This window comes from Homo sapiens, chromosome 9 (genome assembly GCF_000001405.40).
Source record: "Homo sapiens chromosome 9, GRCh38.p14 Primary Assembly".
Taxonomy (NCBI): Eukaryota; Metazoa; Chordata; class Mammalia; order Primates; family Hominidae; genus Homo; species Homo sapiens.
Window position 1 is genome coordinate 112040754 of NC_000009.12, and position 17221 is coordinate 112057974.

The 17221-nt window shown below is 42.0% G+C and overlaps 1 protein-coding gene across 13 annotated transcripts in view, besides 6 other annotated features; it reads right to left on the bottom strand.

The window, feature by feature from the left end:
* Positions 1-29: 29 nt before the first annotated feature.
* The window catches only part of SUSD1 (sushi domain containing 1), a 134515-nt gene continuing 117323 nt past the window's right edge, over positions 30-17221 (bottom strand). For 4 of the 13 annotated variants that reach the window (XM_047423727.1, NM_022486.5, XM_017015037.2 and 1 more), the window contains 3 exons: positions 11646-11685; positions 1114-1207; positions 30-739 (listed from right to left, as the gene is read on the bottom strand). In XM_047423727.1, coding sequence (XP_047279683.1) covers position 739; positions 1114-1207; positions 11646-11685 — 135 coding nt within the window. In that variant the 3' untranslated portion in view covers positions 30-738. Of the gene's footprint in view, positions 740-1113; positions 1208-1347; positions 1413-11401; positions 11597-11645; positions 11686-17221 lie in introns of those variants that run through there. The other 9 variants (XM_047423728.1, XM_047423725.1, XM_047423724.1 and 6 more) reach the window with 7 other exon arrangements.
* Positions 279-918: an enhancer, noted in NCBI's record as "H3K27ac-H3K4me1 hESC enhancer chr9:114803312-114803951 (GRCh37/hg19 assembly coordinates)". NCBI's record gives its function as "activates a minimal SCP1, AML or CMV promoter by ChIP-STARR-seq in naive H9 embryonic stem cells {active_cell/tissue: H9 hESC(naive)}" and the evidence as "EXISTENCE:reporter gene assay evidence [ECO:0000049][PMID:30033119]".
* Positions 279-1557: a biological region, named in NCBI's record as "P300/CBP strongly-dependent group 1 enhancer GRCh37_chr9:114803347-114804546".
* Positions 314-1513: an enhancer, noted in NCBI's record as "P300/CBP strongly-dependent group 1 enhancer chr9:114803347-114804546 (GRCh37/hg19 assembly coordinates)". NCBI's record gives its function as "activates an origin of replication core promoter dependent on BRD2, BRD4, P300/CBP, MED14 and CDK7 cofactors, with strong dependence on P300/CBP, by STARR-seq in HCT116 cells {active_cell/tissue: HCT116}" and the evidence as "EXISTENCE:reporter gene assay evidence [ECO:0000049][PMID:35650434]".
* Positions 919-1557: an enhancer, noted in NCBI's record as "NANOG-H3K27ac-H3K4me1 hESC enhancer chr9:114803952-114804590 (GRCh37/hg19 assembly coordinates)". NCBI's record gives its function as "activates a minimal SCP1, AML or CMV promoter by ChIP-STARR-seq in naive H9 embryonic stem cells {active_cell/tissue: H9 hESC(naive)}" and the evidence as "EXISTENCE:reporter gene assay evidence [ECO:0000049][PMID:30033119]".
* Positions 1669-1718: an enhancer, noted in NCBI's record as "active region_28816". NCBI's record gives its function as "activates an Ori minimal core promoter by ATAC-STARR-seq in GM12878 lymphoblastoid cells {active_cell/tissue: GM12878}" and the evidence as "EXISTENCE:reporter gene assay evidence [ECO:0000049][PMID:35858748]".
* Positions 1809-1878: an enhancer, noted in NCBI's record as "active region_28817". NCBI's record gives its function as "activates an Ori minimal core promoter by ATAC-STARR-seq in GM12878 lymphoblastoid cells {active_cell/tissue: GM12878}" and the evidence as "EXISTENCE:reporter gene assay evidence [ECO:0000049][PMID:35858748]".

Here is a 17221-nt window from a genome sequence, read left to right on the forward strand (position 1 = left end):
CAGAAAAATTAACCAAGGGAAGAACAATCTTAATTACGGGATATTTTTACTGGAATGTAGACATTACTTTTGAATATATAGGACAATAGAAATTGCATCAAAGCAATGCTGCCTAACAGACACAGCAGGAAACTTATTGGCATGGCCAGGCTAGTATATTTTCTCATTAGTATATCAACTAATTATAGGAAAAGTACTGTTTCTAAAGTGCTTGAAACATTTGCCTACGTCACTGTTCTCTTTTTCAATGACCTCCTTCATAAAGTCAAACTCTAGCCCAAACTTAAGCCCATCTCACTGCATATTGTAAAGAATGGATTCTGAATGAATTAACAGAAATGCTTTTATATAGGAGGTTGCAGAGATTCTCTTGCAGTCAATGTCTAGAGGAGCTGACCCTCAGGCATCACTCAGAGGAAGTCCCAGCCAAGATTCACAGATCTGTATGTAGCCTTCGGTCAATATCACAGTGTACATCAGGAGTCTCAAGTTCATTGCACAGAACTGGTCCTGTAGCAGGGAAGACTCAGAATTCCTGAGTTTTCTCCTTATGGTGACTCCTCAGGGATAGCCACCATCTTAAATCCAGGAATGGGGCCCAGCTGGGAATGGAGAAAGTTGCAGGCCCACATGCTCCCTGGACGGAAGTCACACGGAGCCTCTGTGCGGGCACCTGAGAAGCTGCCAGAACACCTGCCCAGCAGCAGTGCATCCTCCCCACTCAGTGTCCATCTGCCATCTAGACATGGAGGAGGAAAAGAAAAGAGACAAATATGAACACACTTTGGTTTTCCCACTGTGCATCTCTATGCACAGCTCACACGCACACCCATGGGAGGAGGCGAGGGGGAGCAGCATGGAAGCTCAGCCACCCCTCTGTGTGTGGCCAGGGCAGCCATCACTGGTCCTGCTCTTTTCCTGGGAAGGCATCCCCCATGCTACCTGGAGGTACAGGGTTAGTCATGCCTTTCACCGCTGAGTGTGCTCTGCTGAGCCAAGGACAACCTCCACCCACACTCCCTTTGACTCCCCTCATCCCCAGCTGTTCTTCGTGACTCTGACCCATCCTCCCCTCCATTCCAGTCATTTCTCAAAAATGACACCCTCACATACCACACCGCTGAGAAGGAGAGGAATGTGAGAATGATCACAACAGCCAGGGAACCCAGTCCAACACCCGCCATCTGCAGCAGCATGAGTGACGAATCTGTGGGACAAAACCACAGGCTTAGCCCAGAGTGCACGGCATCACCACCTCCCAGGAGGCACACACCCCACTGTGCTCAATCCATTTTAACCCAGAGCTTGGCCCCATTTAACAAAGAATCCCAAGAATGCCCAACATGCCTGTGTGTCCCCTGAGTTGGCCCTGTGGATATGCAGCCTCAGGAAATTACAGTTACAAGGTATTTCTGAAAAGGAAGTGTAAAGCCAGACCATGTTAAAGTTACAAGGGAGAAAACAGCTAATCTTGTTGAGCACACAAATACTATGCAACGTGTTACATTTTTTGTTGGTCCTCTCACAATCAATTACATTTGATAGATTTTTATGGGCCGTTTTCTTTTGCATGGAGGGACAAGTCATTATGATATTATTTGAATTTGGTTTCCAAAACTGATAGCCCTGATGGTCAGATAGAGCAAAGGAATATCCTTTGTTGAGTCACCTGTCATTTTCTCCATACCTCAACAAGGGTCATACTTCCCTGCTCAGGTCAGCAGGTTTACTGAGAGGATAAAAGTACTTTGAAAGACATACTTTCTATTTGGGGACCATCACATGCCAACTCCAGGGAGATCCCCGATTATAAACTAAAAAACACTCACAGTTGAGTTGCACATGTGGGCCAAGTGACTGACTTAGAGAATCATGTTCTAGATTAGAGCAAAAATTTCATTTTAATTTGCAAACACTTACTTAGCACTTACTATGTGCCAGACACTGTTCCAAGCACCTCACAAATATTCACTCATTTAGGCTTCTAACCAGCCTTCACATTGGGTACTATTATTATTCCCTTAAGGAACCAAGGTGGGAGTGGCTAAGTACAACTCAGGTCTTTACAGCCAGGTTAAGAGGAGTGCATTTCTATTGGAAACTCAGTACAGTACCTGGCACTAGTAAAACCAGCCATAGAATACACCTTGTGTTAAACAGCCCTGCAGAACTTGAAACCGCCTTTTTAAAAATTATAACCGAGAAAATTATAACCGTGAAAAAGATCTGACCTGACTGACTCCATCTTGCTTCTAACCTCCAAGTTGCCCCTGTTCATTCCTGGGCGTAGGCTGAACTAACTTTGGGAGGAACTCAGTTTATAGTTTAACTTTGAAACAAAGACGATAATAGCCCTTTCCCCAAACAAATCCCCATCCTGTCTGGGGACTAGACTGCCTTTGCAAGACTAACAAATTAGCCATGAGATTAGAAATTATGGTTTAGGGGTCCTACAGCTGGAAGCTGCAAGATTCTGAACTGCTCAAATTGCTCCTAGGGCTAACATCACTATTGTAAAACCTAAGATCAGTGCTTGAGATATTTTCCAGACCCTGCACTCCATGGATCGGCTGGCATCACCCAGATCCATAAACTGGTTCATCTGATCTTGTGGCCCCCAACCAGAAATTGACTCAGTGCAAGAGGACAGCTTCGACTCTGTGATTTCATCTCCAACCCAACCAATCAGCACTTCTGACTCACTGACCCCCCCATCCCCTACCCCCTACCCACTAAGTAATCCTTAAAAACCCCATCCCTGAATTTTCAGGGAGACTGATTTGAGTAATAATAAAACTCCAGTCTCCCATACAGTTGGCTCTGTGTGAATTAAGCTCTTTATTGCAATTCCTCTGTCTTGATAAATCAGCTCTGTCTAGGCAGCAGGCAAGGAAAACTCATTGGGCGGTTACTAATTCTCAAAAAATGCTGCCAAGAGCCTTTCTAGAAAACATGGCTTATATTATTTGGTTGCTTTTAGTCTATAGAAGAAAAATGGCCTTGACACTTTAAGAAGCTAGATTACTTATTTTGTTTTATTTTATTTTTATTTATTATTATTTTTTGAGACAGAGTCTTGCTCTGTCACCCAGGCTGGAGTGCAGTGGCATGATCTCGGCTCACTGCAACCTCCACCTCCCGGATTCAAGCGATTCTCCTGCCCCAGTCTCCCTAGTAGCTGGGACTACAGGTGTACTCCACCACGCCCGGCTAGTTTTTGTATTTTAGTAGAGACAGGGCTTCACCATGTTGGCCAGGCTGGTCTCGAACTCTTGACCTCAGGCGATCTGCCCATCTTGGCCTCCCAAAGTGCTAGAATTATAGGCATGAGCCACCATGCCCAGCCAAGAAACTAGATTATAAAATGGAAGGAGAAACAGTGATTAAGTGAAGAATTAGTAAAGAAAAAATATTAGGAGAGTGACTTGAATTGCAAGACAGTAAAACAGTGCAGTATTAGAATAGGAATGAATACATTGGAACAAAATAGCCTAGAAACAAATCCAAGCATATCAAATACTTTCAAAGTTTGAATACTGGAGTCAGATGTCCAAGTCTTTATCTGAACACCACCACTGCCTGTGTGACTTTGTGCAAGTTATTCATCCATTCTGTGTCTCAGTCCCCACACTGAGGGATGCTGTAATAACATGGGAATGATAGCAATACTACCCACCTCTAGGTAGTGGGAGAAGTCAGTGAGTTAGTACAGGTTGAAACAGTGCCTGGCACAGAATAAGCAATAAGCAAATGTTAGCTATTGTTAATTATTATTGTTTTTGTTGTTTTGATACTGTTTCAGATCATTGGGGAAATGATAAATTTTTCATAACCAGTGCTGAGAAAATTGGCTAACCATTTAGAATCAAATAATTTTGATCACTAGAGCTTACACCATATATCAAAATAAAATCCAGATGGATTACAGACTTAAATTGAAACCTAAAAGGATTAGGAAATGTTAGTGAATATTTACCTAATATTAAAGGGGGTAAGAAATTTCTAAGCATATTCGTTAACACAGAAACCTTAAGAGAATGAGAGATTTAACCACTTTAAAAAGCATGCACTTCTTATACCAAAAACTACCATAAGCAAGATTAAAAGGCAAATGGCAAGCTGGATAAAATATCTAGAATAATGGGCAAGAAGTTAACATACAGAGAGTGTTACAGATTAATAAAGACATACCTCAATAGCGAAATGAGAAAATTCTACGAAAAGGTAAATCACATGAAAAACATGATTACAGATGATCAATAAAACTTTGAGCAAATGCTCTCTTACAAGTAATAAAAATGCAAATTAAGGCATTAAGATGCCATCTTTGTGCATGACTCAGAAACATTTTTTTAAATGCCATCTTGGTGGACTAATTAACTAGATTTGTTTTGTTTTGTTTTGTTTTTAAGAGAAAATACAATTCTGGAGATGAACGGGGGAGCTGGTACTTTACTGCACTGGCATTTCATCCGATCTACCCAGTATTCCTTCCAACTTCTGACATCAAGTTTTTTTCTGTGTATTTTTTCCTCTACACTTTAACCCTCTGTATATTTTAATCACTGATTGATGAATATGTTGAACTGAAGATGACTGTGGACAGAAATCCATATCATGCATATTCTTGGGTTTGATTTCAACTCATCAATAATTGTTAATGAGTTGATATCAACTGTGCATAGCCATTCAGCTTGTTTCTAAGCCCACATACAGCTCTCATGTCCCCACATTGTCCACAAGGACATTATTGTTATTATGCGTGCCATATTTCCCTGACCAATTACTGACTCTGTGCAAGAAGAAATGGAAAGCAATCTGACCTAATCTGCTCTTAAAGCTCCTGACTCCCGGGAACTGCTGTTTTTTCTACCAGGGATACACAAGCCATCACTTGAAGACCTTGCTTTGCCTTGACTTCAAGTTACCATCATCTACACTTCTGGTGGTTCTTCCTTTGTACAAAGTTCCTTGTTCTTTGCTCATCTCTAGTCCTCTTACATCTCTCCATTTTCTTCAAGGTTTATTGAAGATCATTTGCAATGGTTTATCCATCTCATGTGAAAATTGTATGAACCTGCCAGAATACGCTACATCCATGTTGGAAGACTTGAACCTATGTAGGGTAGCAAGCTCTTTTCTTTCTTCTAACTATCCCCTCACAAACGAAGAGGACAAAAGCTAAGTAGGAGTTAAGGAAGCTGACTTTCACTTGACCATCCACCAGCAGGATCTACCTGGGCACAACTATTCCTTACTCTAGACATAGTATTGGAAAATGATCTTTATTTATTCTGCATAGCACAATTTGGGTTTGGCTCCAGGAATGATTCTTGCTGGTAGATCAGTTCCTGGTTATATGTCTTTTTGTCTACTTTGCATATATACTCTAAAAATCTGAGTCAATCTAATCAAGAGTGCTCACAAGTGTTGCCACACAAGCTTCTTTAGAGACTTTCCTCATTAATTCCTTAATAAGAAAATTTACAACTGGCAAATTTGAATTGTATTTTTTATAGCCTCACCATCCTTTGGTTACCCTACCTTTCCATGGTCTCATGCCAGAGAACCATGTTTATTTTTCTTCTGAATCACTTGTAGAATATTTTTTTACAAACCCAAGTGAATCACTCATGTGTTATATCCCACATCAGTTACTCAATCTTGGAGAAAGTAAGTCCATTAAGACTAAACTTCACCATTCTCTTTATGGTGGCTCCCTCAAGAGAGCTAGTGCTCAGGAGGAGTGATGGGGCCTTGCTGGACTTATCTTTAACCCCTTCCCTGATAGAAATATCACATGCTGAAGAGGAAGTTAGAAAGGCCCTATTTCTACTCTCAGACTTTGTGACAGCTTGAGGACGCTCCATGGGTGTGGACATTTTTTCATGAATATACACGGGCATGGTCACTTCCTGAAAGCACCAATTCTGTTCTCCAAATGGTAAATAATAATAAAAATAATAATTAGCACAGTGACTTCTATTTACTGTGTTAAATTTCTCTTTGCTATTCTAGGGTCTTCTCACTTGAATTCCATTCAGAGCCAAAGATGGCAAAGGAAATCAAAGTGGAAAACTAATTTAAAGATAAGTTTAAAGATTAATTTAAAGATTAATGCTTGATACATTAGCAACACTGTTATATTCCATTTTTATTGCAGTTTAACAAATCACCACAAACTTAGGTAGCTTTAACCCATTTATGAGCTCAGAATTCTGTGGGTGGTAAGTTCAGGCACATTGTGGCTGGTTCTCTGCTCAGGGCCTGTATTAGTCCCTTCTCACACTGCTATAAAGAACTACCTGAGACTGGGTAATTTAAAAGAAAAGAGGTTTAATTGACTCACAGTTCCACAGGGTGTACAGGAGGCAAGGCTAGGGAGGCCCCAAGAAATGTACCATCAAGGCAGAAGGTGAAGGGGAAGCAGGCACAGTCTTCACATGGCCAGAGCAGGAGAGAGAGAGAGTAAAGGAGGAAGTGCTACACACGTTCAAACAACCAAATCTCATGAGAACTCTATCACGAGAACAGCAAGGGGGTAATTCATTCCCATGATTCAGTCATCTCCCACCAGGCCCCTCCTTCAATACATGGGGATTACAATTCGACATGAGATTTGGGTGGGTACATAGAAGAAAACCGTATTAGGGCCTTACGAGGCTAGAATCAAGGTCTCAGGTGGACTGAACTTCTTTCTGGAGGCTCTGGAGAAGAAGCTGCTTCCAAGCTCATTCAGGTTATTGGCTACATTCAGTTCCTTGCTGCTATGGTTTGAGTTTATATCCTCTGAAACTCACTTGAAATTTAATCCTCAATGTGGTGGTGTCAGGAGTTGGGACCTAGTGGGAACTATTTGGGTCATGGGGTTGGAGCCCTCATGAACAGATTAATGCCCTCTCTCAGAGGTGAGTGAGTTCTTGCTCTGGAGGGGCTGTATTACCAGGGAGCTAGTTGTTATAAAAATGAGTCAACTTCCTAGACTCTTTCTTGCTTCCTGTGTCATCACATGATCTCTTTGTATATACCTGCTGGCTTTTCCACTTCTCTACCATTGTTCTGGTGAGCATGTAGCCCTCACCAGAAGCAGGCCAGATGCAGTACTATGCTCTTGAACTTCCCAGCCTACAGACTCATGAGCTAAATAAACCTCTTTTCTTAATAAGTTACCCAGCCTCCAGTATTCTGTTATAGCAACACAAAACAGACTAAGACACTTGCAGTTATAGGACTAGGGTCCCCATTTTCTTACTGGCTGCAGCCAGGCCTTGCTCAGCTCCTTCTGTTAAGCTGCACTCCTTGCCATGTGGACCCCTCCATCTTCAAGCTGCAGGAGAATTTCCCTATGTCAAATCCATCTCATTCTTTGAAGCTCCAACTTCCCCTATCTCTGACCTCTAGATCCAGATTTAAAGGGCTCCTGTGATTAGGTCAAGCCTATCTGGATAATCTCCCTATTCGGGAGCTTAAGTACATCTCCAAAATCCCTTCACAGCAATACCTAGAACAGTCTTTGAATGAATAACTGAGAGAAGGTAGATGTATACCAAAGACAAGGAATTTGGGAACCATATTAGAATTCTTCCCATCACAACTATAAAGGTTTAAAATGATTGTGTGCATGTATATATGTACATATATACACATATATGTACATATACAGTAAATACATATGTATACATACACACTAGGTTTATATCCTGATGTAAGTCTTCTCTGGCTTATTTGATAAGTATTGCACCTCCTATGCTTCATTTCCCATAAAACTAACTGCTGCTTCCTCAGTAATCATTCAGCCCAATTCAGTGCATTCTGATTGAACACCTAATGCATGCCAGGCTCTGTTCCTCCTCTTCAAATGCCCTTCAAGGGTGTAAAATCTAGTAGTAGAAGACAGACAAAACAAGTGCACACCCATTGCTCTAAAATATAGCAGAATAGCCAAAGAAGGGCAGATCCTGCCCTGTTGAGAAAATTTAAAAAGCTTCAGGGAAGAAAGGGCATTTGATTTTAATCTTGAAAAACAGGTGGGATAAGCAGAGATTCACAGGTGGGTGATCAGGAAATCCAGATGGAAGTCGTCAAGTAATTATATGAGCAAGGACATTAAGAGGAGAAAGCATGGGCCATAGCCAGAAAACAGCTGGAACATTGGTTTGAATGGAGAAGAATAAAAGATGTAATTAGAAGGGTATGTTTGTGTCAAATAGAGGACTTGGAAGCCAAACTGAAAAATAATGGAGGACCACAGAAGCAGAGGAAACAAAATCAGTTCTGAGTTTAGAAACAAGTCAGGTGGTGGTGTGTAGGCTGGAATGACGAGGGAAATTCTGAACTCTTGTGATGGGAGATGAGGAAGGAGGATTTGCCCGTCATCCCTGCTACAGGTAGGAAGGCCTATGCTCAGGGAGTGAACACAGAAATGAAAATCAGAGAGGCGTGCCCAAGGTGCTAAATGTGGGCTGAAAGAGAAAAAGGAGTAGTCCCGAATAACTCAGAGGTTTCATGCTTACGACTGGAGAATGTTCCCCGATTACAGCTTATTATCATCTCACATATATCAAATGACCTTGCTTTGTGACTCAAGAAATCACAGACTCATAATACTCTGTGGCTGGAAAGCATCTCAGAGATCCCAGAGAGAGGGCGACTGAGAACTGGCCAAGTTAAATACTATTTCAAAGACACTTGGCTGATTAGTAGCAGAAGACTCAGGCAAGTAAGCCCAGGCCTCTGCATCTTCCATCAAACCGACTGCTGGTTTCCTGATCATCTTTACAAAGCTCTTCTAGGGGCAATATGCAAAAGGTAAATAGCATAATTTGTCACTGGGCAAAGGCCAGAATGGGGCTGAGCCTTGGCACGAGTGAACTGGCACGATTTCAGGACTAATTTAGATCTCGGTTCTCTGCAAATTACTTTCTGAAATGGCAGTCTCCAAACTTTTTTGAAAAAGTAGACTGCCCAAGATGGGTGCACAACACAGGTAAATGTTATACATAAAAAAGTATTGCTAGAATTGCCTTCAGAATTTCCACAGAACAGTGTTTTTCCTATTATCTTCCAGAGATTTCCAGTGGTTTAATTTCAAAGGCTCAAACTCTCCTTCAATATTGGTTCTCAAGCTGAGGGGAAACCAGAGCACTGCCAAAGCCACTTAGATATTTTCAAAGCAAAATCCTCCCTGTTAATTTAATCATAGCAGAATGACTGCAGCCAGCTCTTTGGCGATTTCTTCTACCCAGTTTGAATGTCTTCCAATCATAGCAAACAGCTGCTGAGTAGAGTGGATTCTGGAAGCTATTATTTTTGTGTCTGGAAGCTTTGTCATCTTAATTATTCTGATAAAAGCATCTCTTTTCCTCGTGAGAACGCCATGCCCAATCCTAGAGCTTCAGGGGATGGACTGGCAAAAAAAAATTTATGAATGTTGGAATGTGTGGCCTTTATTAAAGTCCTACAAGTAAAGGGACTTGGCCCATCTGCACACAGAAACAGGACAGCACCCATCTTTGTCAAGAGGGGCCCTCACTGCCTGGTCATCAGCAATCCAAGATGGCTGACAGTCAGGTAACCCGCCTTGCACCCTGCTGAAAAGCCAAGTCCTCTACCCTTGTTGCAGTTGGTTTGAGCAGAGGTAAAAAGATGAAAATAAGATCAGGAGAGAAGCAGACAAATGGAGGAAGCCTAATTCCCCAGGCCCCTCCCAGATATTTCCTGCACAGTATTCTCTACTGACAGGATAAAAAATTCCCCATTAAAAAGTGCTATCCAGTGGAATCCTTAGGGAAGCAAGTTTATGCTGGCACTTCCTCACCATGCCAGTTGATTGTTTTATGCTGCTCTGAGGCGGGGAGAGGAGGTAAAGGGTTAAACTGATACTGTGGGCTAAGGGCAGAACTTGACAGCCTGTTGCTAGGACCCACAAACCACACGGAAAAGGTCCAGATTCCAAGGTCATAAACTCAACAAGATTTCTGGTATTAGCTACAAACTAATGGAATTCCTGGGAATCAAATCCACTGGCTGGCTGCCTGTTGGTTTTAAAGAAATGTACTGTACTGCCAGGGAAATCCCGAGCCTGGAAAACAAAGACCTGTGATTGCTCAAACCCTAAGGCAATTTCCCCGCCTGGATAACTCTTCCAAGGCAAAGGTTTAAGCTATACAGCGCTCAGCAGAAATGTTCCCACTGCATCTCTAAGGAAAGGCTTTGGAGGAAATGGACAAGGGGTCCCATCAGGCAGACCCAAACTGACCACCCAAGTGACCCATTCTGCTGCCAGGGCAGGGGATGCTTGCTTGTCCTGCCCAGCAAGAGGTGATCACTGCTACAGGGCCCCCTGACCACTGTACATTGCTTTATCTTTTCCTCCTTTCTAAATGAGCGTATTTATTGTGCTATTCAGTTTTCCCTCTCATATTATGTATTATGGTTTGAGATTGGTTAAATTTGCCATTTAGTCATAGATTACTTAAATAGAGCACAAGAAACACATCTGGACTTGACCAAGAGGAAGATGCTATCCCCAGGATTCCTGGTCTTGGAGCTGGATGCAGTAACGGACCCAGCTTTCAGTTGTCTTCCACTAGGGTTCCATGTGGGATCATGCATAGGATAGTTCCATTTTGTTAAGGGAAGAAGTTTTTCTTTTCTTTTTTTTTTTTTTTTTTTTTTTTTGTTGTTGTTGTTGTTGAGATGGAGTTTTGCCTTTGTTGCCCAGGCTGGAGTACAATGGCGCGATCTCGGCTCACCGCAACCTTTGCCTCCCGGGTTCAAGTGATTCTCCTGCCTCAGCCTCCCGAGTAGCTGAGATTACAGGCATGTGCCACCATGCCTGGCTAATTTTGTATTTTTAGTAGAGACAGGGTTTCTCCATGTTGGTCAGGCTGGTCTCGAACTCCCAACCTCAGGTGATTCACCTGCCTCGGCCTCCCAAAGTGCTGGGATTACAGTTTTTCTTAATATTATATGTGTATGTGCACAAGCTACACAGCCGAATGGTAGTGGACTGTTGTAGCTCTTGTATTGGCTTTTCGGCATCTTTTCCTGTGCCCCATTTCTTGATAGGGATTTTGTCTCCCTTTCATTGCAAACCTAGTGGACCTATTGTTCACACTGCTCTGCCTCCAACCAGCCATGAGGAGACATAAAACCCAAGGGAGGCCAATCATCCTAGCCCATCTCCTAGTAACAGTGATTCATCCAATGGGCAGTCACTTAACCTAGCAGGAAAGAATCTTTCCCCGAATTGAAAAGCTATGTTTTCCCAGTGAAATCGGTAAGCTGCGGGAGCTTGCCATCACTCCCTCTCACATGTCCTACAGTAGAAGAAAACGAAGCCAAGTGACTCTTAGAAACAGAGAACTGAAACAAGAGAAAAATAGAAAGTCCCACTCACGGTGTTGAGTCCCCAGTCCCAGTTCCTGGAGCCTTCTTGGTGGGGTAGCTCTTTGTATAATTCCATAAGCTCCCATCCACTCACCCTCCTCCCATTTTTTTTCAGCTATGAAGCTCTTTGCTTAAAGTAGTATGAATTGGGTTCTGGTCACCAGTGACAATTATATAAACAGATCTCATCAATATGAACTTGATGCTGCAGAAAAGAAATAAGGACAGCATTCATAGGCAGAAAATAATTTTACCTTTCACCTGAGCCCAAACTGCACAGGAGTGTCTTCTCACCTATAAAGGAAAACATAGCAATGCATTTAGCTAGGTGGCACACAGTGTCAGTTTAAATATAGTTTGGAGGCTGAAGCCCTCTGAGTTTCAGCTTTTTCAATCTCTTAATCTGAACTAGACCTTTAAAGTCCAATCTAGCTCTAATATCTTGTGATATCACTAAGTGTTCAAGGGACCGGCGTGGGTTGCATGGACAGAAGTGACCCTACAGATCACTTCTATAGGTTTCCAACAGGTCTTGGAAAGCATATATGATAGGCCAACAACAGGAGTGACAAAAAGGACCATTCCCCTGACCAGCTCTGAGCAACTGGCATGGACCGCCTAGAGAATTATGCTGAAAAGGATTCTGAGGTCACACGTTCAGAAGGTTCAGCAAGAAGTAGTGATGCATGTTAGAGGCAAAGCTATGAGAAGTCCCAGTATATAATACTTCATCTATCTAGATGTCACTTAGCAACGTCAGTTACCCAAAATGTGTCCATGAACCGGGAAGAAAGCAACAGGAACATATATGAAAGCTCATCCATAGTAGAAGAAATCTATAGATTCAGTGGAATGAATATCTCTTCCCCCCTGTCATTATGATATGCTTATTTACCTGTTACAAATGCTGGGGACTTGCTCTATATAAGACTTGAAAATATTCCCCAGAGGAAGCTGCACGGTGAGGGTTAGAGGAGGATCCTTCCAATGTCATTAGGAGAGTCTCTTTCAAATGACAGCCTTGGGCATTCTGGTTTGGATTTTATTAATTTTTTTTTTAATTTAAGCTTAAAAATTCTGAGAAAAGCTGCTGGGCACAGTGGCTCACACCTGTAATCCCAGCACTTTGGGAGGCTGAGATGAGCAGATCACCTGAGGTCAGGGGTTCGAGACCAGCCTGGCCAACATGGTGAAACCCCATCCCTACTGAAAATATAAAAATTAGCTAGGTGTGGTGGTGGGCGCCTGTACTCCCAGCTACTTGGAAGGCTGAGGCAGGAGAATCACTTGAACCCAGGAGGCGGAGGTGCAGTGAGCCAAGACCACACCATTGCACTCCAGCCTGGGCAACAGAATGAGACTTCGTCTCAAAAAAAAAAAAAAAAAAAAAAAAATCTGAGAAAAGCTTAAAATAGCCATAAGCGTTTGAATGTGACTAACATTTGCTTTGATGCTAAGTGCAGATATTAGAAATGGAAGGTAATGTGCAAGAATAACCAGTAAAGAACATATTTCAAGACACTGGAGAATGGAAGGGACTTCAAATAGCAAGGCCATTTGGGGGAATGGAGTATATCAAAGGAGAGAAACTGGCAGGGGCCAGGTGAAGAAGGGAGCTTATTAAACTGAAATGCCTGGATCATACTTGCATTTTATAAAACTCATGCTGGCAGTGGTATGAAGCAAGGAGACGGGTAGAATAAGAGACAGAAAGATGTGGTAGAAAAGTGATGTTCAGGCAAGAGATGACAAAGTCTGAGCAGTGCAGACAAAGGAGAGGAAAGAATGATTTTAAACAGAATTAAGTTGGTAGAATTGACATGATTTGCTGATGATCTGGATAAGAAGGTAAGAAAGAAGGAAGAGACAAGAACTATTTACAGGTTTCTGTCTTAGCAATGGGAGGCATGGCAATGCTATTTACTGGGACAGATACACAAAGGGAAAAACAAAATGGGGCATTGGAAGACTCACACTCCCTGATTTCAAAATTTACTACAAAACTACAGTAAACAAAACAGTGTGGTAGTGACATAAAGACAGACATATAGGCCAATGGAACAGCATAGAGAACCTAGAAATAAACCCTTGCATATATGTCAAATAATAGTTAACAAGAGTGCCAAGACCATTCAATAGGGAAAAGACAGTTTTTTCAGGCTGGGCACACTGGCTCACACCTGTAATCCCAGTACTTTGGGAGGCTGAGATAGGAGAAGCGCTTAAGCCCAGGAGTTTGAGACCAGCCTGGGCAACACAGGGAGACCCCATCTCTACAAATAATTTTTAAATATTAGCCAGGCATGGTGGTGCACAGCTGTAGTCCCAGCTACTTGAGAGGCTGAGGCAGGAGGATCACCTGAGCCCAGGAGGTCGAGGCTGCAGTGAGCCATGATTGCACCACTGCACTCCAGCCTGGGTGACAAACTGAAACACTGTCTCAAAAAAAAAAAAAGTTTTTTCAACAAATGGTACTAGGAAAACTGGATATCTACATATAAAAGAATGAATATGGACCCTTACCTAATATCATATAAAAAATTAACTCAAAATGGATCAAAAACCTAAATATAAGACCTCAAATTATAAAACTCTTAGAAGACAACAAAAAGCTTCCTGAAACCGGATTTCTCAATGACTTCTTGGATATGACAAGACACAGGCAACAAAAGAAAAAATAGACAGACTGATCATCATCAAAATTTCAAGCTTTTATGCATCTAAGGACACTATGTATAGTAAAAGTGCAACCCACAGAATGGGCGAAAATATTTGCAAATCACGTATTTCACAAGGGATTACAGTAATATCCAGAATGTATGGAGAACTCTTAAAATTTAACAAAAACAAAAACAACCCAATTCAAAAATGAGCAAAGGACTTAAATAGACATTTCTCTAAAGAAGACACACAAATGGCCGATTAGCCCATGAAAACATGGTCAGCATCACTTGTCATTAGGGAAATGCAAACCAAAACCACAATAAGATGCCATCTCATGCTGGGAGTGGTGGCTCATGCCTATAATCCCAGCACTTTGGGAAGCCAAGGCAGGTGGATCGCTTGAGCCCAAGAGTTCAAGACCATCCTGGGAAACATGGCAAAATCCTGTCTCTATGAAAAATGGAAAAATTAGTCGGGTGTGATGGCATGCACCTGTAGTCCCAGCTACTCAGGTGGCTGAGGTGAGAGGATCATCTGACCCCAGGGAGGTCAAGGCTGCAGTGACCTGTGATTGGGCCACTGCACTTCAGCCTGGTAAACAAAGTGAGACCCCATCCCCCACTTCCAAAACAAAAGATGTCACCTCACACCCTACCTTATAATAGGATGCCTATTATAAGAAAAGAAAACAGAAAACAGTAAGTGTTAGCAGGGACATGGACAAATTGGAAGCCCTACGCACTGCTGGTGGGAATGGAAAATGGTATAGCACTATGGAAAACAGTATGGTAGTTCCTCAAAAAATTAAACATAGAATTATCATTTGATCAAGCAATTCCACTTCAGGTATATACACAAAAGAACTGAAAGCAGGGGCTGAAACAGATATTTGCATACCAATGTTCACAGCAGCATTATTCGTAATAGCCAAAAGGTGGAAAATATCCCATTATTCATCCATGAATAAATGAATAAGCAAACGTGGTATACTCATATAATGGAATATTATTCAGTCTTAAAAAGGAAGGAAATTCTGACACATGCCACAACATGGGTGAACCTAGAAGACTTTAGGCTAAATGAAATAAGCCAGTCACAAAAAGAAAATACTGAATGATCCTACTTATATGAGGTACCTAGAGTAGTCAAATTCATAAAGATGGAAAGTAGGGCTGGGCGTGATGGCTCATGCCTGTAATCCCAACACTTTGGGAGGTCAAGGTGGGAGGATCACTTGAGCCTGGGAGTTTGGAACCAGCCTGGGCAACATGGAGAGACTCTATCTCTACAAGAAATAAAAATTAAAAATTAGCCAGTCATGATGGTGCACACCTGTGGTCCAAGTTAACTCAGGCAGCTGAAGCACCAGTATTGTTTGAGCCCCGGGGGTTGAGGCTGCAGTGAGCTATGATCGTGCCACTGCACTCCAGCCTGGGCAACAGAGCAAGACTCTGCCTCAAAAAAAAAAAAGACAGAAAGTAGAATGTTGGTTGCCAAGGGCTGTGGAAGGAAGGAATGGGGAGTCATTTAATGGGTATAAAGTTTGTTCTGCAAGATAAAAAGAGTTTTGGACGCTGGTTGCACAACAATGTGAATGAACTTAATGCCACTGAACTACACTTTAAAATGGTTAAGACAGTAAATTTTATATTGTATATGTTTTATCACAATTAAAAATTAAAATTAAATCACTACTGATTTTATTGTAATTGTCACACAAATACAGTTGAAACCCATGGGAAAGTCATCGCAATTTAAATATGTAGATCCAAATATAAATGTTTTCAAAGCCCTTTCATCTCCTTTAACATCCTAAAGAATAACCACATATTCTTCTGTTCAGCTACATGAAAGAGAGTATCAATGACATCACAGGAAAGTTTCCTATGAACCAGAATTCTTTGTGTGTGTGTGTGTGTGTGTGTGTGAGACAGGGTCTCACTCTGTTGCCCAGGCTGGAGTGCAGTGGCATGATCTCAGCTCAGTGCAACATCTGCCTCCCAGGCTCAAGAAATCTCCTGCCTCAGCCTCCCAAGTAGCTAGGACTATGGGTACATACCACCATGCCTGGCTAATAAACCGGAATTCTTGTCCTAACCTCCAACTTCATTCCCTCTGTTATGAATTAAATGTCTATGCCCCTTGCTCACCACCCAACCCCTGCCCCAAATTCAAATGTCGAAGCCCTAACCTACAATGTGATGGTATTTGGAGGCAGGATCTTTGGGAGAGAAATAGATTCAGAAGAGATTATAAGCCTGGAGCCCTCACGATGGGATAAGTGTCCTAATAAATAGAGGAAGAGCAATCAGAGCTCTCCCCTCCCCACTCCATCCCCACCACGTGAGGACACTGTAAGAAGGCAGCTGTCCACAAGCCAGGAAGAGAGTCCTCACTGGGGAACTGAATCAGCTGGCACCTTGATCTTGGGCTTCCCAGCACAGACTGTGAGAAATAAATGTCTGTTGCCTAAGCTACCCAGTCTACCATATTTCACTATAGCAGCCCAAGTTGACTAATATACCCTCCCCAACCAAAGTCTTAATCTAGGACAGTAGATCTCTGAACCATCTCTAAATTGCACTCATGTTGTACTGCCAGTGTTTTGTCTATGGCTAAAAACTCCAAGTCAGAAACCCCAAGTAATTTTCTAATGAAAAGGCCTTGTCTAAGCTGTAAATACCTTTTTGGTAAGTTCAGGGCAATATATTTCTGGGCTTTAACTTTCCTTTCTTTATTCCTCCATTATTGTCACAAAGCGCTGCTAGACATCTTTGATACTTGAACATTCTTACAAGTAACTATTGGTTTCATAGCAAGCATGTTCATGACACATTACATTTGCATCCCACACAGAATTTAATAGAGTGTCTCAGTTTTAAATATGTGATAAACCTTACACTCAAGATGATAACATACTTTTATCTCAAATTCATCAGTCAAGAGCTGCTTGTATTAGTATTAATATAATCCTTCTAGTTTTCATTACTGGCCCATATGAATTTACAACAAGCTTAGGGTTCTCCTAGGTCAACCATCACAATGGTTCTTCCAGATCTTCCATCCCTGACTGATTAATGCAGCTCCATGATGTTTCCTAATTATCTAATGAATATTGAGTTCCACGTCTCAGGAAAGAACCACTGCTGGAAGAGCTTTCTAAGGA